Source organism: Homo sapiens, chromosome 9, assembly GCF_000001405.40.
Source record: "Homo sapiens chromosome 9, GRCh38.p14 Primary Assembly".
Classification (NCBI taxonomy): domain Eukaryota; kingdom Metazoa; phylum Chordata; class Mammalia; order Primates; family Hominidae; genus Homo; species Homo sapiens.
In genome coordinates this window covers 96,315,662-96,341,138 of record NC_000009.12, presented here as the reverse complement: position 1 = coordinate 96,341,138, position 25,477 = coordinate 96,315,662, and the positions used below count along the sequence as shown (strand labels likewise).

Here is a 25,477-nt window from a genome sequence, read left to right as displayed (position 1 = left end):
ATTTTTGTATTTTTAGTAGAGACGGGGTTTCACCATGTTGGCCAGGATGGTCTCAAACTCCTGACCTCAAGTGATCTGCCTTTCTCAGCCTCCCAAAGTGCTGGGATTACAGGGGTGAGCCACTGTGCTCAGCTAACATATACTTTATTAAATCCTAATGCTCTAGGAGAATATCCTCCTCCTATTCTGGCTTGTGGTACTGGAATATCCGAATATTTACCCTGTTTAGCCTCTTCTATTTGATCAGACTTCAAAGATTTCAAACAGAAGTTCCTTTAGAAAGTCTGTAAGTACCTTCGAGCCGCCAGAGTGACTGCTAATCATTGAAATTCCAGATGGACCAAAGTGCTAACTATATAGATTTGTTTTTCAAAACCAATAAGAAAAATTATAATTAGAAGATATAGAGTATAGTTATAACCATAATAAAAGGCCTTCTATAAAATAACAAAGTACAAGTCAAGTCATGGAGTTAAAAATTTGACTAGTTTTTTTTTTTTTTTTTTTTTTTTTTTTTTTGAGATGGAGTCTCCCTCTGTTGCCCAGGCTAGAGTGCAATGGCATGATCTCGACTCACTGCAACCTCCGCCTCCTGGGTTCAAGCGATTCTCCTGCCTCAGCCTCCTGAGTAGCTGGAACTACAGGCGCCCGCCACCATGATGCCCGGCTAATTTTTGTATTTTTAGTAAAGATAGGGTTTCACCATGTTGGCCAGGCTGGTCTCGAACTCCTGACCTCGTGATCTGCCCGCCTCGGCCTTCCAAAATGCTAGAATTACAGACGTGAGCCACTGCGCCCAGCCAAGTTTGACTAGTTTTTAAAAGTATTGTATGACGAGATGCCAAAATATATGAGACACTCACTGTAATCTGCAAGAAAAAAGCCATCAACCCCATATAAAAAACAAAAAGCAAAAAACAACAGTGAGATTTCCACTACTAACATTGCTCTGTATTCACTGAATCAGGGCAAATTTCTTCCCATTGGTCCCTTTTGAATGTGGTGGAATTCATTTTAGATTGTAAACCAAATAGGAGAAAGAAATGAATTAGGTGTGTTAGCCTGTAATATAAAATTGCTTTTTGTTTACCAAGTTTGGTTTGAGTGTTCTGAAAGCTGATTAATGAATTAGAGCAAAATGTTAACTTCTCTTGTTAATGGAAAGAAACTTGATGAGTCATTTTCCCTGGTTAACTGGGACTAGGAGCGATGGAGAAGATCAGAGATTGTGGTAAATGTGTGTGTGTGACTCATTCCTCCGGGAATTCAAGCCCAGACTTTGGACTTACACAGTCAATAGATCTATTAACAGTGCCTCAATTCTATCTCTGATGAACAAAGTCAGAGATGACAGCTTCTCTTGTTAACAAATTAGGCCCTTGGAAAATACTCAGCGGGTGAACTTTCTTTAGTATTTGAATCACTGCAATAGGTTCAAAGTACATCTAGTATATTACAGTTGATGAATAGAGATAAATAATAGGACTTTTTTTCCCTGATTAAAAAACCCTGAGTGCAAAGTGAAAAAGACTCACGTTCCAACAGTAAGTCTAAAGGAAGAAGGGCTTTATTGTTGTTTACCTTTGATTATTTCTTTTTAAAAATAAATAATGCTACATTATTTTTTATGATTTAAAAATAAATCATGCTGCATTATTTTAAAAATGCCACTAATACCGTCTCATCATTATTAAGGAAATAAAACTAAAATCTATAAAAATTTAGGTTGGGGCTGGTCACGATGGCTCACGCCAGTAATCCCGGCTCTTTGGGAGGTTGAGGCGGGCAGATCATGAGGTCAAGAGATCGAGACCATCTTGGCCAACATGGTGAAAACCTGTCTCTACTAAAAATACAGAAATTAGCTGGGTGTGGTGGCGAGTGCCTGTAGTCCCAGCTACTTGGGAGGCTGAGGCAGGAGAATCGCTTGAACCCGAGAGGTGGAGGTTGCAGTGAGCTGAGATCGTGCCACCGCACTCCAGCCTGGGCGACAGGGCGAGACTCCATCTCAAAAAAAAACAAAACAAAATTTAGGTTGGTGAAGAATCTAAATATTTTATGAGAGTCACAAAATAGCCCTCAATGGATTTTGTAGTATCAGGAACACATATAGAGTTTTTATTTATTTCTTATTAATGGATTGATTGATATTTTACTGTTTGCATAAATACTTTTAGCTCTTTGAGAGAATAGATGTTTTTCTACCCTTGGTTTGAAATTTAAAACTTAAGTATTTCTCTTATTCCCAATTTTATTTTAATTTCAGACACTAAGTGTTTCCCATGATTTTTGTGGTTTTGTTTTGTTTTGGTCTTTGACTACCTTAAGCATAAACTTTTTGGCTTTAATTCTTTTGGAAGTTTTCTGCTCCTTTGATTAGCTTGGGGCTTGCTGGAAAGACAGATTTATATTTATTATATTTTTCTTTCATAAGTGAACATTTAACAAAAAGTGTTATGACGCAAGGAAACTGTCAAACATATACAGAAGGAGACGGAGTGACATGACAAACTCCACATATATGCCCATCAGCCAGTTTCAACAATTAGGAACATTTAACGTGTATTTTTTTTTTTTTTTTTTGAGACAGGGTCTCACTCTGTTGCCCAGGCTGGAGTACAGTGGTACCATCACAGCTCACTGCAGCCTCCATCTCCTGGGCTCAGGTGATCCTCCCACCTCAGCCTTCCCAGTAGCTGGGACTACAAGTGTGCACACCACCATGCCCAGCTAATTTTTGTCATGTGTATCCTTTTGAGAAGTGAAGTGGGCAAAGCATTACTCATGAAACAATGACAGTGAAATGTGACAAGATGGTACAGATTGGAGAAGAGAATTCTACCTTAATTGTTTAAAAATTTGAATTATAAACTTAAAAGATTTCATTTTAAATACATTGAGTTTCTAAAACTTGGCTAACAAAGTATTGCTTAATAGAAAGTGAGTAGAACTTATATTCGATCATGTTATTGAGCACATACTTACGGGCAGTCTTCAGACACTTTCAGATCGTTTTTGGATACAGGCAGGGGCCAACCATGAATAAAATACTCCTTATTGTCACCTGTCACCTCAAGAGGGTTAATTTTATTTTCTCAGCTAGGGATTAAATTCCTGGAGAGCAGAAATTGAGTTTTTTTTTTTTTTTTTTTTTTTTGAGGTGGAGTTTTGCTTTTGTTACCCAGGCTGAGTGCAATGGCGTGACCTCGGCTCACTGCAACCTCTGCCTCCCGGGTTCAAGTGATTCTCCTGCCTCAGCCCCTGTAGTAGCTGGGATTACAGGCACCTGCCCCTGCGCCTGGCTAATTTTTGTATTTTTCGTAGAGATAGGGTTTCACCATGTTGGCCAGGCTGGTCTCAAACTCCTGACCTCAGGTGATCTACCCGCCTCGGCCTCCCAAAGTGCTGGGATTACAAGCGTGAGCCACTGCGCCCGGCCAAAAATGAAGTCTTAAACTTCTTTGTCTACCATGTCCTCCACCCCAATTACTTGATTGCTTTATAAGTAGCAAATAATAGTTTATTTGTTCACAATACTTCCTAAGCATGTGCAAGTTCCTGAGAACAGTTTATGACCTTAAACTTTTCTTGCCTACATTATTAATTAAGAATAAACTTTTTGGCTGGGTGTGGTGGTTCATGCCTGTAATCCCAGTACTTTGGGAGGCCAAGGCAGGCAGATGACTTGAGCCCAGGAGTTTGAGACCAGCCTGGGCAACATGGTGAGACCCTGTCTCTACTTAAAGAAAAAAAAAAAATTAGCCAGGCATGGTGGCCTGTGCCTGTAGTCCCAGCTACTCAGGAGACTGAGGTGGGAGGAACTGATTGATCCCAGGAGGTAGAGGCTGCAGTGAGCCATGATCACACCACTGCACTCCAGCCTGGGTGACAGAGCAAGACCTGGTCTGAAAAAAGAAAGAAAAAAAAGAGATAATTAACTTTCTTCTAAAACGATTTATAAAAAATAAACCCAACCTTGAATTTGGGACCACAAATTAAATTAGTAAAGGTGTATAAAGTCAGTGAATCAATGATAGCCTCAGCGATAATAGCGTTTGCGATTTTGTGCTGGCCATCAGCACAGTCCTAAACAATTTCTTTCAGTCCTTATATCAACGTTTTGAGGAAGGCTTTCCTTTTTTTAAATAAGCTAGATTTTGTAAAATGAATCTGAAGTTCAGGGAAGAAAATAAATTTGCCCAATGTCCCACAACTAGTATGACCTAGGATTTTTAGCTTTATGTTTTCTGTTTGGGAAGATGGTTCCTGTATCAAAATGCAGTTTGGTAAAACCAGTAAATTTAAACTGCAGTATTATTAACCTAATCATTAGTTTTTTTCTTTTTAATAATAGGCTACTGAATTCAACCAATGGAAGAATGTTGTGTTTATCCTACAGTTTCTTCTTTCCTGTTTTTTGGGGTAAGAAACCATAGATAAGTAGAAGCATTGGTCAACAGTATCTCTTGACAAGTCAAATCAAGATATGCCTTCTGTCTATTCTGTCAGAATTCCTTTGTGTTTCTCTGACTTTCTCTGGAAAGTACCCCTGCAGCAAAGGAGGTGTCAGGGACCCAGGATACCTGGAAACCCAGCCTGAAAGACCAGGAACAAGCATACAACTCTTGTTTTTGAAAGTCATGCTAATGTCCTGTTCTTCTTCAAAATATGATGTTGCCTATTGATTTCTGAAAGTTTGTCTGAAATGAAGTCAGCTGACATTTCAAGTTCAATGCTGAGGATTTTTTGGTTTTTGTTTTTTAAGAGATGGGGTCTCACTGTGTTGCCCAGGCTGGACTCAAACTCCTGGGCTCAAGCAATCTTCCTACCTTAGCCTCCTGATTAGCTGGGACTACAGGCTCCTGCCTCCAGGCCTGGCAGTAATATGTTTTCATCTTTGTCACCATGTCCTTAGTTTTTCAAGATCCCTTCCTCAAATAATTATGTGACTATGACAGCCTTTTCCTATAGTGCTATACCTGCTATATTCAGGAAAATTTCTAAAGAGAGATGTCCAGGCTGTTGTATTGTCCAACAGTTAGGCTTTTTTGTTCTTGAAATTTTCTTTCTTTCTTTTTTTTTTTTTTTGAAGATGGAGTCTTGCTTTGTTGCCCAGGCTAGAGTATAGTGGCACAATCTTGGCTTACTGCAACCTCTGCCTCCCAGGTTCAAGCAATTCTGCCTCAGCCTCCCGAGTAGCTGGGATTACAGGCATGCACCACCACACTTGGCTAATTTTTTGTATTTTTAGTAGAGATGGGGTTTCACTGTATTAGCCAGGATGATCTCAATCTCCTGACCTTGTGATCTGCCCACCTCAGCCTCCCAAAGTGCTGGGATTACAGGCGTGAGCCACCGCGCCTGGCCCCGTTCTTGAAATTTTCTTTAGGTATATCTTCTGGTTGAGAGACCATATAGTTTGTGTCTATTTCAGTCTTCTAAAGACTTGAAAATCCCTTTGCATGAATAGGTGATACATGCAACTAGGAAATCATTAAAAAGGTGCAAAAGAATAAATAGGGAGGCTGAGGCAGGTGGATCACCTGAGTTCAGGAGTTTGAGACCAGCCTGGCCAACATGGCATAACCCCATCTCTACTAAAAATACAAAAATTAGCTGGGTGTGGTGATGCACACCTGTTGTCCCAGGTACTCAGGAGTCTGAGGCAGAAGAATCGCTTGAACCCAGGAGGTGGAGGTTGCAGTGAGCCAAGATCGCGCCACGGCACTCCAGCCTGGGTGACAGAGGAGACTCCATCTCAAACAAACAAACAAACAAAAAGAATAAATAGGGAACACCAACTCCCCTCCATTCTTCCTCGCCTCCACACTGTAGTTTTCTTCCCCAGAGGCAACACTGTTGGAAATCTTGGGAGTATCCTCCCTGAGCGGGCATTCATTCCAATACAGGCATTGGTACCTTCTCCCATACTGAAGGGGCCCTTGAATTCCTATAGCAGGGAATTACTCATCAAATGATTTTTCCTGTGAAGGAAGATGGATTCCCTCTCACCTGCCACACTTTTCATTCTGTGTAAATGAACAAAGACAACTCCTGACCTCTTTGATCAACACTCTTCAATTCTCAAACTTGATTTCAATTGCAATGATGTACTCACATGCAGTAAAAACATTTCTGTCTATCTTCCATTCATTAGTTCTCTCTTTAGCTGTGTCTGATTTAATGATTTAATGTTGATGGAGTTTTTGATTTTAACAATTTTATATTTTATTTGTAAAAGTTCCACAGTTTTTTCCCAAACGTATCTGTTCATTTAGAATACTCTCACTGGTGATCCTTGTGACTGTGCCTTTTATTTCTTTAGGTGTCACACACAGCTATTCCATATTCTGTATCTGACAATCCCAGCATTGGCAGCAGCTCTTGAGAATTTAAGCATGCAGTTTTTTTGTTTCAGGCGATGTTCATTGTGGTTTGCTTTCTTCTGTGTTTGGTGACCTGTGATTGTGAGCATTTTGCTTAAAAAAAATTTTTTTTTTTGAGATGGAGTCTCACTTTGTCTCCCAGGCTGGAGTCCAGTGGCACGATCTTGGCTCACTGCAACCTCTGCCTCTTGCATTCAAGTGATTCTCCTGCCTCAGCCTCCTGAGTAGCTGGGATTACAGTTGCCCACCACCACACCTGGCTAATTTTTGTATTTTTAGTAGAGACGGAGTTTCATCATGTTGGCTAGGGTGGTCTCAAACTCCTGACCTCAGGTGATCCACCTGCCTCGGCCTCCCAAAGTGCTGGGATTACAGGCATGAGCCGCCACACCCGGCCCATTTTGCTTAACTTTGATCAGTCCCATGAGCTGAAATTGGGAATTTGAGACACTTTTCTATAGGGACAAGTTGTATTTGCTTCTGCTGGTAGCCAGGGGTTGCCCCAGACCTTGATCCCTTTAGGCCTTTTGGGAGTCTGGGCTCAGTATCCCCTCCTCCCCCTAGAGTTTGGCCCCAAGCCAAACTTCCTCCCCATTCATGGAAAAATTGTCTTCCACAAAACCGGTCCCTGGTGCCAAAAAGGTTGGGGACTGCTGCCTTAGAGCACTTAGCCATTGTTGGAAGCATAAGTTTAGTAAAATACCTGTAGTTTACCCAGTTGTTGAGTGGGAACATTTAACCTTGAAAAAAAAATCTAAGCCATGCTTGTGAGTCACCCTTTGTCAAACCATCTCTTATTTTTCTCTCTAATCGAAAAATAAGAAGTCAACCCTTAGTACACAAACTTAGACTAGCACCTTTCCCTGGCTAAGCCCATATTCCTCTGTGAACAGGAGAGCAAAGTTTCAAAGTCTTCTCATGTCATTGTAAACTTGATGAGATATTGGCTTTTTTGGTTTGTTTTTTGTTTTTAACATGCACTTCACCGTTTAACCATTCCATGAAGGAAACCAAGAAGTGGACCCTCTGAGGTCAGCTGTCCTCAGTGGGTGAGGGCGGGCAGCCTCGCTGTGAGCTGTTACCCTCCAGGGCTTGCCCATGACAGGCTTGATCCCATCTGTCTACAATTGCATACTTTTTTTTTTTTTTTTTTTTTTTGAGACGGAGTCTCCCTCTGTCGCCCAGGCTGGAGTGCGGTGGCGCGATCTTGGCTCACTGCACGCACCGCCTCCTGAGTTCACGCCATTCTCCTGCCTCAGCCTCCTGAGTAGCTGGGACTACAGGCGCCCGCCACCACGGCTAATTTTTTTGTATTTTTTTAGTAGAGACGGGGTTTCACCGTGTTAGCCAGGATGGTCTCGATCTCCTGACCTCGTGGTCCACCCGCCTCAGCCTCCCAAAGAGCTGGGATTACAGGCGTGAGCCACCACGCCCGGCCTACAATTCCATACTTTTTTTCCCCATTTAATAATGTGTTTCTTAAAAACAAATGCCCTTTTGATAAGAATTATTAATACATTATTTTATCAGTAGTCATTTTAGAAATTGAAAATTCAGGCCAGGCGCAGTGGCTCATGCCTGTAATCCCAGCACTTTGGGAGGCTGAGGTGGGCAGATCATGAGGTCAGGAGATTGAGACCAGCCTGGCCAACATGGTGAAACCCCATCTCTACTAAAAATACAAAAATTAGCTGGGCCTGGTGGCATGTGCCTGTAATCCCAGCTACTCAGGAGGCTGAGGCAGGAGAATCACTTGAACCACAGAGTTGGAGGTTGCAGTGAGCCGAGATCGTGCCACTGTACTACAGCCTCGCGACAGAGCGAGACTCTGTCTCAAAAAAAAAAAAAAATTCGCAAAGGTGTAGTTATTATAAGTAAAACAGTAAAAATGATGAAATCATTAACATTTCAGGTTTACTCAAGTTTGATGAAACAAGGTGGATGTTAGTTTCCAAAGTGGGTCTTTTTTGTTTTAAGATGGAGTCTCGCTGTGTCACCCAGTCTGGAGTGCAGTGGCGCGATCTCGGCTCACTGCAACCTCTGCCTCCTGAGTTCAAGCGATTCTCCTGCCTCAGCCTCTCGAGTAGCTGGGATTATAGGCACCCACCACTGCGCCTGGCTAATTTTTGTATTTTTAGCAGAGACAGGGTTTCACCTTGTTGGCCAGGCTGGTCTTGAACTCCTGATCTCAGGTGATCTGCCTGCCTTGGCCTCCCAAAGTGCTGGGATTACAGGTGTGAGCCACTGAACCCGGCCAACATGAACTTTACCTTTAATGGTAAAGTTTTAAGTCTGAAACTGCACTGCAAGGAGACTTCCATTTTGGCATGGCGGCTTTTTCAGAATACTGCTTTCTTGTAGTTTCTCAGTCAAAGTATGCTAGGATCTGATCATCTGCATCTCCATAGTAAGCTTCCCAGCACATCCTTGGCTTTGGGGACTGGTGCTGGACTTGGGCTGTCTCTTCTCTCCTGACGGGTGCGAAGGGATGTTTTAGGGTTAACACACACACCGCAACTCCAGACTCGAGGCGAGCCCACTCAGCCTCTTACCTGCTTTCATTGCTTTCAGGTTTGCATTTCGGACTTGCTCTTTTCAGCCACCAAACCTCTATTCTGAGTTGAAAATATAATTTAAAAATTATTACGCTTTGAAATGTTTTGTTAAGAAGCCGACAGAATGGTGAAAGGGCCAGTGCCAACCACAGTCCTGAAAGACACTGTAAACCAGCAGTCCCCAACCTTTTTAGCACCAGGGACCGGTTTCTTGGAAGACAATTTTTCCATGGATGCAGGATGGGTAAGGATGGTTTTGGGATGAAACTCTTCCACCTCAGATTATCAGGCATTGGATTCTTATAAGGAGCATGCAACCTACATCCCTCAAATGCGCAGTTCACAATAGGGTTTGCGCTTCTATGAGAACCTAATGCCATCACTGATCTGACAGGAGGCGGAGCTCAGGCGGACATGCTTGCTCACCTTTTGCTGTGCACCTGGGTTCCTAACAGGCTGTGCACTGGTACCGGTCTGCGGCCTGGGGCTTGGGGACTCCTGCTGTAAACCAAAAAGTGTGTGAGACAGGTCTCAATCTATTTAGAGGTTCATTTTTCCAAGGTTGAGGATGCACTTGGGGAAAAAGAAACACAAATCACAGTAGGATCTGTGGCCTGTGCTTTTTCCAAGGAGAATTTTGAAGACTTCAGTATTTAAAGGGGAAAGGGTGGCAGGAGGGGCAGAGGGAAAGAAAAAAAAAGGGAGGGAGGGTATGTCAGGAAGTGAGTGGTTACATTCTTGTAAGGTGAGTGAGTCCTACATTCTTGCAAGACTTTGATTAGTGCTCACTGAATCCACGTGTTACATGTGAAAGGAGGGGTCGAGGAACAATTATTCATTTGTCTGGCTTTCAGCAAATCTGCATTTTACATAAGATAAAAGCAAGCATACAGGAGAAGGAGGAGGCAATCACGCATTTGTCTTGGAGTGGGCAGAGGGATGATTTCTAGTTCTGTCTTTGTCCATACCTGTTTAAGATAAGCTATTAATTTACATCATCATGCGGGCATGGTGGCTCAAGCCTGTAATCCCAGCACTTTGGGAGGCCGAGGTGGGCAGATCACTTGAGGTCAGGCGTTCGAGATCAGCCTGGCCAACATGGCGAAACCCTGTCTCTACTAAATATACAAAAATCAGCGGGGCGTGGTAGTGTGCCCCTGTAATCCAAGGTACTTGGGAGGCTGAGGCACGATAATCTCTTGAACCTGGGAGGTGGAGGTTGCAGTGAGCCGAGGCTGTGCCATTGCACTCTAGCCTGGGTGACAAAAATAAATAAATAAATAAATAAATAAAATCAGGGTGAAATTCAGCAGAACTCTGTTTTAGGGTGAAGATTTTGGGAACTGCAAGGAACTTCCTTGTGAGCAATTTGCGAGGGAGGCCACCTGGGGAGATGTGTGGCCCTCTCTCTTTGCAGCTATCTATTGAGGAACAGAATGGAAGGCAGTTTTTGTGTGACTCAGTTTCCAGACTTAACTTCTCCCTTTGGCATTGTGAGTTTGGGGTTCTGAGATTTAATTTTCCTTTCACAACACTATCCTGAATGCCATAACCCCCAAAAGATCTAACTTCAAAAAATTATAATCCTGAAAGAGTAGAATCTCAAATGTTGAAATCCTGAAAGCTGAATTCTGGGGAAGGGATTGTGTATTTCTGTTGTATGCAGGATACATGTTGTGTCACATCAGATGGATGCAACTAAATAACAAAATTTCTTTGTTACTGTCTTCATTCGGAAACTTAAGTATGGTTTAAGGCGATGCCTGTGGGTGCCAATTGACAAGCAGGGGGAATTGTGGAGTTAAATTCAGGTATCAATTCGACTGGATTAAGGAATACCTGGGAACCCAGTGAAGCTTTATTTTAGGTGTCTGTGTGTGTGTATATGTGTGGGGGTTTCCACAGGAGATTGGCCTGTGAGTCTGAGTGGACCAGGTGGGGAGGATTTGCCCTCATGGTTGGCAGGCACCAGCCAATTGGCCATGGGCATGGAGAGATCAAATACAGAGGCGAATCCATCCCTCTTTGAAATCTGGGACAGACTTTCTTCTGCTGCCTTGGACATCAGAACTCCTGGCTCACTGGCCTTGGGAATCTAGGGCTTCCACCAGCAGTCTGTGGTCAGGAGGCCTTTGGCCTTGGACCACCAAGTTACACCAAAGGCTTCGCTCGTTCTCAGGCCTTTGGACTTGGCCTAAGCCACGCTACTGGCATCTCAGGGTCTCCAACTTGCAGATGGCCTGTCTTGGGACTTTTTAGCCTCCATAATTGTGGGAGCCAATTCCCCTGATAAATCCCCTCTCATATATCTATACTTGTGTGTTCTATTGGTTCCGTTCCTCTGGGGAACGCTGACTAATATAGATTCCTTTATTGAGGAAGCCAAATATCATTCCTTCTTACTGTATTCCTAACAACACAACAGAAAAGATCTGTGAAAATGTTCTCTCACAAAAGGGCTGTGAAAAATAAAAGTTTAAAAGCTAGTTATTATTGGTGCCGCAAAAGCAGAACATTGCTTAATTGCAATGGCTGAGCAATTATCAAACTTGCAAATGGACAGCGTATGCTTACAAAATCCGTGGGCCACAGCCACTCTCCAAGTACCAGTGGAGGAGTGTTTTGAAGATCATAGATGTGAAAATGCAGGTGAGAAATACAAGAAATCTATGCCAGACACAGTGGCTCATGCCTGTAGCCCCAAAGCTTTGTTTGGGAGGCTGAGTGGGAGGATCACTTGAGGCCAGGAGTTTGAGACCAGCCTGGGCAACATATGAGAACTCATTTCTACAGAAAAAAGTTAGGCAAATGTGGTGGCATGTTCTTGTAGTTCCAGCTACTCAGGAGGGTGAGGCAGGAGGATTGCTTGAGCTCAGGAGTTTGAGGCTGCAGTGAGCTATGATGGCACCACTACACTCCAGCCTGGGCAACAGAGGGAGAGCCTGTCTCTAAAAAAAGTATATATATAAAAAAGTGTGTATTTATATATATAAAAGTATATATGTATATGTGTGTGTGTATATATGTAAATGTCTCCTGCCAAATTATTCAATCTTGTAGAATTTCTGTCCTTTAAAAGACATAAATAATGTCTTTTTTTTTTTTTTTTGAGATGGAGTCTCACTCTGTTTGCCCAGGCTAGAATGCAGTGACGCGATTTCATCTCACTGCAACCTCCGCCTCCTGGGTTCAAGCGATTCTCCTGCCTCAGCCTCCTGAGTAGCTGAGATTATAGGTTCCAGCCACCAAGCCCAGCTAATTGTTGTATTTTTAGTAGAGACGGGGTTTCACCATGTTGTCCAGGCTGGCACTCTGTGAGTTCTTAGGAGTGAGTTCTTCCTAGAGATGGTGAGGATGGGGTTCCTTGGAATTCTTTGAAATCTGGAATTATAAGAGAATGATGTGCTTGGGTACCATTGTGGATGGTGGAAAGAATGCAAAAGTGGCCTGTGAATATTTGAACGTTTGTTGAGTTTCTATATTTGTTGGGGCAGGGAACGGTAATCAGTGACAAGGTATAAACTAGGTCATTTGAGTTCTGTTTGTGACTGCCACAATGTTGGGTAAGGCAGTTACTTTTTGTGCTGTTTTTAGAACAGGAAGAAGAAGGCTTTGAGCAGAGGCTCTGGTCCAGGAGTTTCTACTTGGGCACCTCCACCCTGGGGGCCCTAGAAGCAGAACACTCAGCTGGCCTCTGTTGTCTGAATAAATGTGCATCAGATGTATGTGCTGTTATATTTCAAATGTACACAGATAATATCATGACTTCAAAATACAGAGCACGCTGGGCGTGGTGGCTCACACCTGTAATCCCAGCACTTTGGGAGGCTGAGGTGGGAAGACCACCTGAGCCCAGAAGATGGAGGCTGGGCTCATGTGAGCCCAGTGAGTTGTGATTGTGCCACTGTACTCCAGCCTGAGCAACAGAGTGAGACCCTATCTAAAAAATATAGAATGGTAAAAAAGGTTACTAAGAATTCAGCAATACTTTTAAATATCTTTGTATTTTATTAATCTACAGATAGTAAAATCAAAGCTAGTCATGTGGAGGTTGATATTTTCAGTAATAAAAGTGGTGAGGTTTCCCTTGCACTGAGTACTGAGTTAACGAAGGTTCTTTTAGTTCAAAGTCTTGGTTTTGGCCAAAGAACTATGCAAGTTTTTTTTGCATATAGAAATAGATTCTTTTAAAAAATGTAATATACTGCTACTTTGAGCCTGGTGGTTCTATATTTGCCCTCTCTGGGGACATCTAGTGGGTATATTAAGAAGTGCAAGCTGGGAGTGGTGACTAATTCCTATAGTCCCAGCACTTTGGGAGGCCAGAGAGGGAGGATTGCTTGAGCCCCAGAGTTCCAGATCAGCCTGGGCAAGATAGCAAGACTCTGTATCTAGAAAAAATTTAAAAATTAGCCAAGTTTAGTGATGTGTACCTGTAGTCCCAGCTTCTTGAGAGGCTGAGGTGGGAGGATTGCTTGAGCCTGGGAGGTGGAGGCTGCAGTGAACCATGATCACACCACTGCGCTCCAGCCTGGGCGAAAGAGTGAGACCCCATCTTTAAAAAAAAAAAAAAGAAAAAGAAAAAGAAAAAAGAAGTGCAGCCCTTCTATCTAGCCGCCATCTGTTGCTAAGGAGGATGGCTGCTCACTGAGGCTCACTCCAGAATGTTAGGGAGGGATTCTCCTCCCTTGGCTCAGCCCAGCTGGTGAGTGATGTCCTAGTCACCCACACTCATGATGGATGGGTGCTGGGATCTTAGATCCATGATGTCTTCTGATTCTGAATGCAGGCTGAGGTGGTTTCACTAAGATGGAGCTGGGTGTGACGACACACATCTGTAGTCCCAGCTACTTGGAAGACAGGCGGGAGGATCACTTGAACCCAGGCATTCATGTCCCGCCTGGGTAATATAGCCAGATCTTGTCAAGAGATGAGGTTCCCCCCAACCCTTTTTTAAGAAAAGAAAAATGGAGGATGGAGAAAATGTTGCATGATTGGAACCCTGGAGTTGGAATTTTAAAGCAAAAGTGGAAATAAAGAACATCCATGCTGTCCTTGGTTTAAGGCTGTGCTGGTGCATAGGCGGCCTGCAGGAAGCTCCTCTCTGCCCCTGCGTTGGGCTGGGCCCTGTGCTGTGCTCCCGCTGCTGTGCAGCTCTCTCCTCTGATCTGGGTCTGAGTGGCTCCGGGGCAGGTGCTGTGGATGGGATGGTCCCCTCTGACAGCCAGGGCCTGGCAGAGCAGGCACTCAGTGGCATCAGTTTGAGTTTTTTAATTTTTTCATTGTATGGATAAATAGGATTATTTATAGCTCCTGGGAATCTAAATTAATGTTAGATTTATTAAAATTATAACAATTTGAGAAACTTGGATTTTCTTTTTTTTTTTTTTTTGAGACAGAGTCTCGCTCTGTTGCCCAGGCTAAAGTGCAGTGGTGCGATCCCGGCTCACTGCAACCTCCGCCTCTCAGGCTCAAGCAATTCTCCTGCCTCAGCGCCTCCGAGTAGCTGGGATTACAGGCGCATGCCACCATGCCTGGCTAATTTTTTTTGTATTTTTATTAGAGACAGGGTTTCACCATGTTGGCCAGGATGGTCTCAATCTCCTGACCTTGTGATCTGCCTGCCTTGGCCTCCCAAACTGCTGGGATTACAGGCGTGAGCCACCACACCTGGCCGAAACTTAGATTTTTTCTTAAGCCTTAAAGTTCAACTTACAAATATTATTGCCTTATTTAGAAGGCTAACAATTTTTCTATAAAAGAACATTTACTTTCATTATTTGATAAATGGCTTATTAACTCAAGTTTAGCTGATTAAAATCCCCTAAACAATGTACTGTAAATCAGTTCCATTTACAACTTAGTGAATTAAAAGAATTTAAGCATTTTCAACTGTTTTTACAAATGGGAGCTGCCTACTTTTTCTTCAGCAATTCCAACCCCTGAGGCCAATTAACAAAGCTAGTAGATTGCTTTCTGTACTTAAGCAACTCTTTGAAATAGAATAAACCAAATTTAGAAATGGGGTAAATCAGCTTCTTAAAAACATTCAAATCCTGATGCAGACTTCGACGCTCTTCTTTCAAATTAAAATTGCAAGTCTAATATCAATTATATATTTCAAATTAGAACCACAGAGTTTCTTTAACTTTTCAAATTGTTTTAATTACAATGCACACAGTATTGCAAAGATTACAAAATTTAAGTTTGAAGTTAAGTTTATTCTTCAACTTGTAAAGCTTGATATTCTGATTTTTTTCCCTCTACCACCTCTAGTAATAAACACACTCAGGCCAACAGAGGTTATCGTGTTGAAGGTTTGTGACTGTGATCTTCACCAGAGATTTGAGCCTAGGACCAAGACCGAGTGTTGAATTCTAGCAGGATTCTAGAATTAAATAAATTCTGTGCTTACCCAAGTGCAGGTGCACTAACCCCTTTGCTAGAGTTGAGTTCACTTCTCTCTGTCAATGGTGAATCCAAGTTCCTGCCTTTAACCTGGGACTAATTAATTAATTAATTAATTGAAATGGAGTTTCGCCCTGTCACCCAGGCTGGAGTGCAGTGGTATGATCTCAGCTCCGCCTCCTGGGTTCAAGCAATTCTCCTGCTTCATCCTCCCGAGTAGCTGGGATTACAGGCATGTGCCGCCACGCCCGGCTAATTTTTGTATTTTTAGTAGAGACAGGGTTTCACCATGTTGGCCATGCTGGTCTCGAACTCCTGACTTCAGGTGATTCACCCACCTCTGCCTCCTAAAGTGCTGGGATTATGGGCATGAGCCACCGTGCCGAACCTGACCTGGGATTTAGCTTTTCAAATCTCACACATCTTGTACTCTCCTTGTACCATCCATGTTTCTTTCTCAGCCAGTTTGTAATCCCTTTCAACATTCCATCATCTGATCTGAGTTGCAGCTTAGGTGAGGTTGCAGCTAATTTCCATCACTGCTTGACTGGAATTAGCTCGCTTCTTTACCTGACTGGATTTGGCATTCTTTACCTGTGTATGTGTTTTCTTGTCTGGCGCTCATCCACAAGGCTGTAGTCATTTTATTGGCAAGTAAGTATCAATACCTACGGTCATGTTAAGTGCCTGAGTTAACTTTGGTAACAGTTACAGGAGCATTATCCACAAGTGGAATCTATTTCAATCTCCTCCGTCCAAGGCAGCAATCGCTCAGCTGATTTTCTCTTCTGACACCAGAGGTCCTCTGCTCTGGCTACAGATCAGAATCACCTGAGGATCTTTCATATCGTGCACGGTCGGGGCCCCACCTCAAACCATGTGAAGCAGAACCTCTGCCAGGCATCGTTCGTTGTGTGTTGGAAGTGCAGCAGGCGGGCCAGGCGCGGTGGCTCACGCCTGTAATCCTAGCACTTTGGGAGGCCAAGGCGGGTGGATTGCCTGAGCTCAGGAGTTCAAGACCAGCCTGGGCAACATGGTGAAACCCCATCTCTACTAAAATACAAAAAAAAGTAGCTGGGTATGGCGGCATGAGCCTGTAGTCCCAGCTACTTGGAAGGCTGAGGCAGGAGAATTGCTGGAACCTAGGAGGTGGAGGTTGCAGTGAGCCGAGATTGCACCACTGCACTGCAGCCTGGGTGACAGAGCGAGACTCCGTCCCCACCAAAAAAAAAAAAAAAAAGTGCAGCAGGCGATTCTGAGGCACAGAGGATTAAAAACTCCAATTCTTAACTTCATTTAACATGCTGATAAATGAGAGATTTCAGGTCATTAAACCTTGTTCTCCTTACTCCCATGTTGTGGAAACATTCATTGGAAATGTACAGAGAAAATGAGAAGGATACCTTAAGTAGAAGGTTTAGCTAATTCACAGCTGGACCATTTTCCTGTCATAAGACCAATAGCAACATATCTTAAGATGTGGGTTACAAAACCTTTATGATATGTGTTTCTTTTTTCTTCGCTTAAAGTGCTTGTGTGGGGGTCACTGCTGGCCTTAACCTATTTGTCATTACCCAGCGTAGTGAGGCACACACTCCAGTGTCTGCTTCCTTGTCACAGGTTTCTGCTGATGTACTCCACGGTTCTGTGCAGCTATTACAATTCAGCCCTGACGACAGCAGTGGTTGGAGCCATCAAGGTGAGTGGATGGAAACTTGGAAGGGAACAACTGAGTCAAGGAATGGAAATCCAAATATTCCATGGGAGGCCGGGTTTGATTTTGTTGTTGGTGGTGGTGTAAGAACGAGGGCTGTGACCTTTTCAGCTCGGCCTGTGTGATCCCATCTTACTTCTTTTTTTTTTTGAGACAGAGTCTCGTTCTGTTGTCCAGGCTGGAGTTCAGTGACACGATCTTGGTTCACTGCAACCTCCACCTCCCTGGTTCGAGCGGTTCTCCTGCCTCAGCCTCCCGAGCAGCTGGGATTACAGGCGCCTGCCACCACACCCGGCTAATTTTTTATATTTTTGGTAGAGACCAGGTTTCACCATGTTGGCCAGGCTGGTCTTGAACTCCTGACCTCGTGATCCACCCACCTCGGCCTCCCAAAGTGCTGGGATTACAGGCGTGAGCCACCGAGCCCGGCCCCGTCTTACTTCTTCTAATCTATTGCATAGAATAGAGGGACAGATTGCTAATTTATAAAGGAGAGATGAATTATAACTTTTAAGTTGGGGGTGGCTCAGAGGGGGTGGGTCTGGGAAAATGAAGTAAAAAGCTAAAAAGAATAAAATCAGTCCAGGTATCAATGATTAGCAAGATACCTTGTGATCCATAATTTGGTTTTCTGGGAGAACCTGCCCACTGAGAAGTGGAGCCCTTGTGGAGGTGTATGCTGTGTGGTGAGATCATGAGCTGGTGGGTTGGTGTGTGGGTGTTTGCTTGTGTGGATGCATCTGAATACACACACATGCACATGAATGAATAGGGGGAGAGGTGTTCTGGATTCTATTCCATAATTGCTTCATTTTTCTATTCACATGAAGTCCTAGAGTGTGTGAAAACACTGCCTGCTTCAAGAGTTTACCTGTCCCCTGGGTGCCCAGAGGTCTCCTAGAATGCACTGGGCAGAGCACGGCCTGGAATTTGTTGACTGTCTCCACTCTGCTCAAGTTTACGATCAAGATAATTAACTCACTACTTGGCCCTGTTGTGTCCACAGATTGCAGTGTAGTGTGGGAGCCCAAGGTTGAAAAAAAAAAAAAAAAAGAAAAACCAGGCACAGTGGCTTATGCCTGTAATCCCAGCACTTCGAGAGGCCAAGGCAGGCGGATCACCTGAGGTCAGGAATTAGAGACCAGCCTGGCCAGTATGGCGAAACACCATCTCTACTAAAAGTACAAAAATGAGCCAGGCGTGGTGGTGAGTGCCCTGTAGTCCCAGCTACTTGGGAGGCTGGACTGGAGAATCTCTTGAACCTGGGAGGCAAAGGTTGCAGTGAGCTGAGATTGTGCCACTGCACTCCAGCCTGGGCAACAGAGTGAGACTCTGTCTCAAAAAAAAAAAAAAAAAAACCCCAGAAAACCTCACTACCCAATGATAGTAAAGAGATAGGAACCTGGCAAGCTGATGACAGCCCCACTCTTCCTCTTTTGCCTGCATGCCAACTGGATCAAGAGAGAGAATAATGCAATTTTCTGTTGTTATCATACCATAATTTACTGCATTTATTTAGTAAGCCCCATATGTAATGGCTTATTTATTTATTTTTCTGAGGCAGGGTCTTGCTCTGTTGCCCAGGCTGGAGTACAGTGGCATGTAGCTCACTGCAGCCTTGACTTCCTGGGCTCAAGCAATCCTCCCACTTCAGTCCGTGTGGAGTAGCTGGGATTACAGGCATGTGCCACCATGCCCGGCTACTTTTAAAAAATTTTTTGTAGAGATGGGATCTCACTATGTTGCCCAGGCTGGTCTTAAACTCCTGGGCTCAAGTGATCCTTTGACTTTGGCCTCCTAAAGTATTGGGATTACAGGCGTGAGCCATCATTCCTGGCCTGTAATGGTTTTTATTTTGTTCAACCACCTGTGAATATCCCTATGTACAAGTCTCTATGCAAAGTAACTAAAATGTCTAGTTTCAGGTTTTACTATTTATATTTTCCCCTAAACAGTTTACTTTTAAAATGACGAATCCTCTCTCTTTTTCTGCAGAATGTATCCGTTGCCTACATTGGGATATTAATCGGTGGAGACTACATTTTCTCTTTGTTAAACTTTGTAGGGTTAAATATTTGGTGAGTGGGAATTTTTAATGGACTCGCTTTGGGAAGACAAGAACCTTAAACACTCTGATTAATATGTAATAAGCAAAAGAGCCTGGAGAAGTCTTTCACGTTAAGCCAGGAGGCGTTTTGACATTCTAATTTCTAAGATAATTTTACTTCATCACTGGGTTCATCCTCATGCAGATCCATGGGGACACGTGTGATGGCAGTTTGCGGGGCTGGGATCGGAATTTAACTCACCTGTCTTCCTCACAGCAGGCCCCTGCGTTCTCTGCCCTCCTCCTATAAAGTGGAGGGTGTTAACCTTTGTGCCCACTAGGCTCGGCATGCAGGGGGTGTGGACTAAGCCAGCTTTGAAAGGCATTTGGGGTCTCAGCAGTGGGATACTATTTAAGGCTAAGGGTATGTAGTTTATTCAGTAGAAACCAAGTGCTTATTTTCTCTCTGAGGTTCTGCATTAGATTTGATGACTCTTTTTCTGCCTCCAAAGGCTTGTAAATAAGGGGAAATTCTCATCAAGCAATCCACAAACTTGAGGAGAAACACAGATATTGGAATAATTCCCTCCGCATGAAGCAGGTGTATTGATAAAAACGCCAGCAACTGCTGCTGGAGCCCCTGTGAAATTCCCAGTCATTTATTTTCACTTTTTTTTCTCCTTTCAGCATGGCAGGGGGCTTGAGATATTCCTTTTTAACACTGAGCAGCCAGTTAAAACCTAAACCTGTGGGTGAAGAAAACATCTGTTTGGATTTGAAGAGCTAAAGAGTCTGCAGCAGGATTGGAGACTGACTTGTGACTGCGGGCTGGGGGGGCATTCCCAGTAGGAATGTGAAGCCAGAGGTTTCGGATTCGTGACATCCACCCCCTGGGCAAGTGAGAGCATCTGCAAAATGCAAAGAGAACTACCTCATATGCAGGATGAGCCAATGGCAGTCTCAAGAAATGTACTCGGGCGACACCTTACCTGTGGAAAGCAAATCTTTTCAAAATAAGCCACTGGGACTCGGTAGGTGGAGCCCCAGCTGCTCTTCTAGGGACCTATGGGGCCTTCGTGGCATCTCTGTGCTGTGTGCTGGGGAGGAGGTTGATGTAATGGTGACTCTTTTCTGATCAGCACCTTGGCCGTGATTCCCAAGGTCCCAGCCAAAGCAAAGGGCCAGTTGTTTCAGTTTAAACAGACATGTCTTTAGTCTAATAAAATTAGTTAACTGCCAGTAAAGTTATTTGTTAGCTTTGATGAAAGCTATGTTGGTATCTTTCCCTAATCATCAAAGTAAATAAAAAATCATTTCTATGTATGCCTCATCATGTGATATTATTGGAGGCAGAAAACGGTGCCCATCATTCACAATGTAACAGAATGTGTCACCTTGAAGGGACAATTCCAGACTCCTTTATGACTCGAGGTTGGGGAAAGCTACAAAGTAACTCAATGGGAAAAAAAAAATACTCAGGCTTTATCCTGTTAGCTATTTTTTTTTTTTTTTTGAGACAGAGTCTCACTCTATTCCCCATGTTGGAGTGCAGTGGTGCAATCTCGGCTCACTGCAGCCTCTGCCACCCGGGTTCAAGTGATTCTCTTGCTTCAGCCTCCCGAGTAGCTGGGATTACAGGCATCTGCCACCACGCCCTGCTAATTTTTGTATTTTTAGTAGAGACAAGGTTTGGCCTCATGTTGGCCAGGCTAGTCTTGAACTCCTGACCTCAGGTGATCTGCCCACCTTGGCCTCCTAAAGTGCTGGGATCACAGGCGTGAGCCACCGAACCCGGCCAATCCTGTTAGCATTTAAGCGCTCACCTGTTTGTTTCTTCTCATCTCCCTCCAGGTTTGTTCAGGAGCTTTTACCACAGGTGCATTTCCTCACATGCTCACCTACCGCCAACCCCTGGTGTATGGGAAGGAGGCCCAAATGGATAGGGTGCCTTTTCCCTCCCTGCGTGGGAATGGGTGTCCCCACTGGAACTGGAGTGCGGGATAGAGCCACAGTCTGGGAGTCAGGAGCCAGACTAACTAATCTTGTCTCTACTATTAAACTCGGGAGACCTTTCCCAAGTCACTTGGCCCGTTGTGGCCTCTAGTATTTTAATCTGTAAAATTCAACTAGATCTCTAAATCCTTGCAAGCTGCAACTTTCTGAGTTTCGAGAAGCTGAGCCAGATCTGGAGCAGGCCAACACAGGAAGGAATCGTGTGGATTTTTATGTGGCTGGGTGCGGCGGTTCACGCCTGTAATCCCAACACTTTGGGAGGCTGAGGTGGGAAAATCGCTTGAGCCTAGGAGTTTGAGGCCAGCCTGGGTAACATGGCCGAAACATCATCTCTACAAAAAAATTAGCCAGGCATGGTGGCGCACACCTCTGATGCCAGCTACTGGGGAGGCTGAGGTGGGAGGATTGCTTGAGCCTGGGAGGTTGAGGCTGCAGTGAGCTGTGGTCACGCCACTACACTCCAGCCTCAGTGACATGGTGAGACCCTGTCTCAAAAAAAACTTTTTTTTTAAATTGTGGTAAAATACATAACAGACTTTACCATCCTAACCATTTTTAAGTGTATACAGTCCAGTAGGAGTAACCATACTGATTGTGCAACCTACCTCTAGAACTTTTTCATCTTGCAAAACCGAAACTCTGTACCCATGAAACAAGAACTCCCATTTCCCCATCCCTCCGGCCCCTGGCAACCCCCATTCTACTCTCTTTGTGAGTTTGACTATTCAAGATACCTTATATAAGTAGAATCACATAGTTTTTGTGACAGGTTTATTCACTTAGCACCATATCACCGAGGTTCATCCATGTTGTAGCATGCAGAGCATCCTTCCTTACGTCTGAATGTGTGGTGTGGATTTGCCGCATTCTGTTTATCCAGTCATCTGCTGATGGACACTCGGCTTGCTTCCACCATTTGGCTATTATGAACAATGCTGCTATTAATATGGGTGTTCAAATATGTCTTCAAGGCTCTGCTTTCAATTTTTTTAGATATATGCCTAGAAGTGGAATAGCTGGATCCTGTGGTCTTTCTATTTTTAGGTTTTTGAGGACCTGCTATGCTGTTTTCTATAGTGGCTGCACCATTTTACATTCCCGCCATCAAGGGTTCCAATTTCTCCACAACCTCAATAACATTTGTTATTTTCTGTTTCATTTTTACTAGTAGCCATCATAATGGATGTTTTAAAAAATAATTTATTTTTATTTTATTTTGTTTTTAGAGATGGGATCTCACTATGTTGCCCAGGATGGTCTGCAACTCCTGGGCACAAATGATCCTCCTGCCTCAGCCTCTGGAGTAGCTGAGACTACAGGCTCACCTGCCTGGCTGTGTTTTGGTTTTGATTTGTATTTCCCTAATTAATCGATTAGTGGTGTTGAGCATTTTTTCATGTACTTGTTGGCCATTTATTTATCTTCTTAAATAAATGTCTATTCAAGTCCATTGCCCATTTCTTAATCAAATTGTTTGTTTTATTGTTGTTGAGTTGTAGGAGTTCTTTACTGTTTCAATACGCTTTTATATTTAATTTATTTTATTATTATTATTTTTGAGAGAGAGTCTCACTCTGTCTCCCAGGCTGTAGTGCAGTTGCATGATCTCGGCTCACTGCAGTCTCCATCTTCCAGGCTCAAGCGATCCTCCCACCTCAGCCTCCCGAGGAGCTGGGACCACTACTAAAAAATTAGCCTGCCTAATTTTAAATAGTTTTTGTAGAGACAGACTCTTGCCCTGTTGCCCAGGCTGATCTCGAACTCCCAAGTTCAAGTGATTCTCCCACCCTGGCCTCCTAAAGTGTAGGGATTACAGGTGTGAGCCACTGTGCCCAGCCTTCAATGTGCTTTTAAGAGGCTTCTGGAGGGCTGGGCATGGCAATATGGCAAGATCTGTGTCTACAAGCACAAATAGTAAGATAAAATAATTAAAAGGCTTCTGGAGTGTAAACTTGGAGCTCCCAGACTTTTTTTTTTTTTGAGACAACGTCTTGCTCTGTCTCCCAGTCTGGAGTGCAGTGGCATGATCTCGGCTCACTACAATCTCGAACTCCTAGGTTCAAGTGATCTTGTGTCTCAGCCTCCCTCCCAAGTAGCTGGGATCATAGGCGTACGCCACTACGCCTGGCTATTTTTTTTTTTTTTTTGTATTTTTGGTAGCGACTGGGTTTCACCAGTTGGTCAGGTTGGTCTCGAACTCCTGGCCTCAGGTGATCCACCCTCCTCGGCCTCCCAGAGTGCTGGGATTACAGGCTTGAGCCACTGTACCTGGCCATCCAAACTTTTGTTAACTACCTCCTGTTGCATCAACATACTTTTTGAATTCCAGAGACCAAAGATGCTAAGCAAAACAAACAAAAACTAATTTCCTTCTTTCTTCCAATTTTTTAAAAAAATCTTTAATTTTTATTCTTGGAATTCTTAAAGATGTGTTTTAAGACTTTTACACTTGCTTCCACGTGTGGCCAGCAGAGGGCACCCTAAGAGCAGCCCAGCAGCCCTAGGAGCTGGGTTGAAAGTTGAAATGTTTGCTGTACAGCTAAAGAACTTGGGTTTAAGGGAGGAGGGAGGTTGAAGGAAGCTCCAATCAGGCTTTTGAACTAAGGTTAGTTGGGGGTGCTGGAGGTGGAGAAGTGGTATGGAAAGGCTCTGCAAACCCCATCGAGGCTGAAGAAAAAATGTAGGTCCAGTGACCCAGGTCTCCAGATATAATTTTTCCTGGTAAAAACATTGTAAAAACCACTAGTGGATGGGACACAAACATTAGTTTACTTACCTTGATATTTTGCACACCTCTTGCCATGGTACTACAAATAACAGTTACACCATTTGTTAACTTGGACTATTTCTTGCTGTTTTAATACTTTTTTTTTTTTTTGAGAGGGAGTCTTGCTCTGTCTCCCAGGCTGGAATGCAGTGGCGCGATCTCGGCTCACTACAAGCTCCGCCTTCCAGTTTCACACCATTCTCCTGCCTCAGCCTCCCCAGTAGCTGGGACTACAGGCGCCCGCCACTACACCCGGCTAGTTTTTTGTATTTTTAGTAGAGACGGGGTTTCACCATGTTAGCCAGGATGGTCTCGATCTCCTGACCTCATGATCCACCTGCCTTGGCCTCCCAAAGTGCTGGGATTACAGGCGTGAGCCACCACACCTGGCCTGTTTTAATACTTTATATATATATAAAGTATATCTCAAGCATTGGAGCTTTTTCACAGCTGAGGTTGATTAAATAATAGGACCTAGTTTAGAGAAGAGTGAAATATATATTTTTTGTGCCCTCAGGCACACACACAAAAAAGGCACCTCCAGGCCAAAGTCGTCACCAGGATAAGCCCTGAGGCTTTTGTCTGCAATCTGTGGTCCCTTCACCAGAAGTGGCATTGGTAACTTGGGGGCTCTTAGAAATGCAGACTGTCAGGGAACATTCACTGAATCAGAACCTGCATTTATCCCAGGGGATTTGAAAAGCACCAGCCACCCCAGGCTGTTGGTCCAGACCATCTTCCCCCCCTTTTTTTTTTGTTTTTTTGAGATGGAGTCTTGCTGTCTTGCCCAGGCTGGAGTGCAGTGGCATGATCTCTGCCTCCCGGGTTCAAGGGATTCTCCTGCCTCAGCCTCCTGAGTAGCTGGGATTACAGGCACATGCCACCATGCCTGGCTAATTTTTGTATTTTTAGTAGAGATGGGGTTTCACCATGTTGGCCAGGCTGGTCTTGAACTCCTGACCTCAAATGATCCACCTGCCTCAGCCTCCCAAAGTGCTGAGATTACAGTTGTGAGCCACCATGCCCAGCCTGGGCCATCCTTTAAGTAGTAGGGATTCTTAACCTGGAGTTCATGGACAAGATTTAGTGAGCTGGTGCACACAGCTAGGGAAAGAATACATCCGGATTTTCCCTAACCTCTAACCAACATTTAGCATTTCTTTCCATTTGAATGTAGGAGAAACCACAGTAGTATTAGCTGTACCTGTAACTTTGTTACCAATAGAATTAAAGATATTTGCATATTGCATTATGGGTTTCACAGAAAAACCATTTATACCCTACTTGTCATTTACTAGTTGTTAGACCCTCCATTGGTTCTTGTTATTTAATATGTTCATAAAGAGGCATATTTTCAGTACATCACATTAAAAATAGTGTGTATCTGGTTTTTGGTAATTGGTTTCCGTTATAATTCTATGTATTTAATTTTGTGCATTTAAAAATATTATTCAAAGAAGGAGGCTGTGACTAGACTGCCATTGTGGTCCATGGCATAAAAGAAAAATAAGGATCTAGCCAGGTGCGGTGGCTCACACCTGTAATCCCAGCACTTTGGGAGGCCGAGGCGGGTGGATCACAAGGTCA

The 25,477-nt window shown here is 43.8% G+C and overlaps 1 protein-coding gene and 1 long non-coding RNA gene across 4 annotated transcripts in view; both read left to right on the top strand.

The window, feature by feature from the left end:
* SLC35D2-HSD17B3 (SLC35D2-HSD17B3 readthrough) overlaps nucleotides 1–25,477 on the top strand; it is a 148,406-nt gene that overhangs the window by 42,573 nt on the left and 80,356 nt on the right. The window contains exons 9-12 of the long non-coding RNA NR_182427.1: nucleotides 4,355–4,422; nucleotides 16,970–17,048; nucleotides 19,059–19,141; nucleotides 19,798–20,141. This is a non-coding gene — a long non-coding RNA (SLC35D2-HSD17B3 readthrough). The remainder of the gene's footprint in view (nucleotides 1–4,354; nucleotides 4,423–16,969; nucleotides 17,049–19,058; nucleotides 19,142–19,797; nucleotides 20,142–25,477) is intronic.
* The window catches only part of SLC35D2 (solute carrier family 35 member D2), a 70,268-nt gene that overhangs the window by 42,573 nt on the left and 2,218 nt on the right, over nucleotides 1–25,477 (top strand). Inside the window, exons 9-12 of one of the 3 annotated variants that reach the window (NR_104627.2) lie at nucleotides 4,355–4,422; nucleotides 16,970–17,048; nucleotides 19,059–19,141; nucleotides 19,798–20,141. Coding sequence is in view for 2 of the 3 variants with exons in the window: in NM_007001.3 (NP_008932.2) it covers nucleotides 4,355–4,422; nucleotides 16,970–17,048; nucleotides 19,059–19,141; nucleotides 19,798–19,897 (330 nt within the window). In the remaining variant the exon portion in view is untranslated. Of the gene's footprint in view, nucleotides 1–4,354; nucleotides 4,423–16,969; nucleotides 17,049–19,058; nucleotides 19,142–19,797; nucleotides 20,430–25,477 lie in introns of those variants that run through there. The other 2 variants (NM_007001.3, NM_001286990.2) reach the window with 2 other exon arrangements.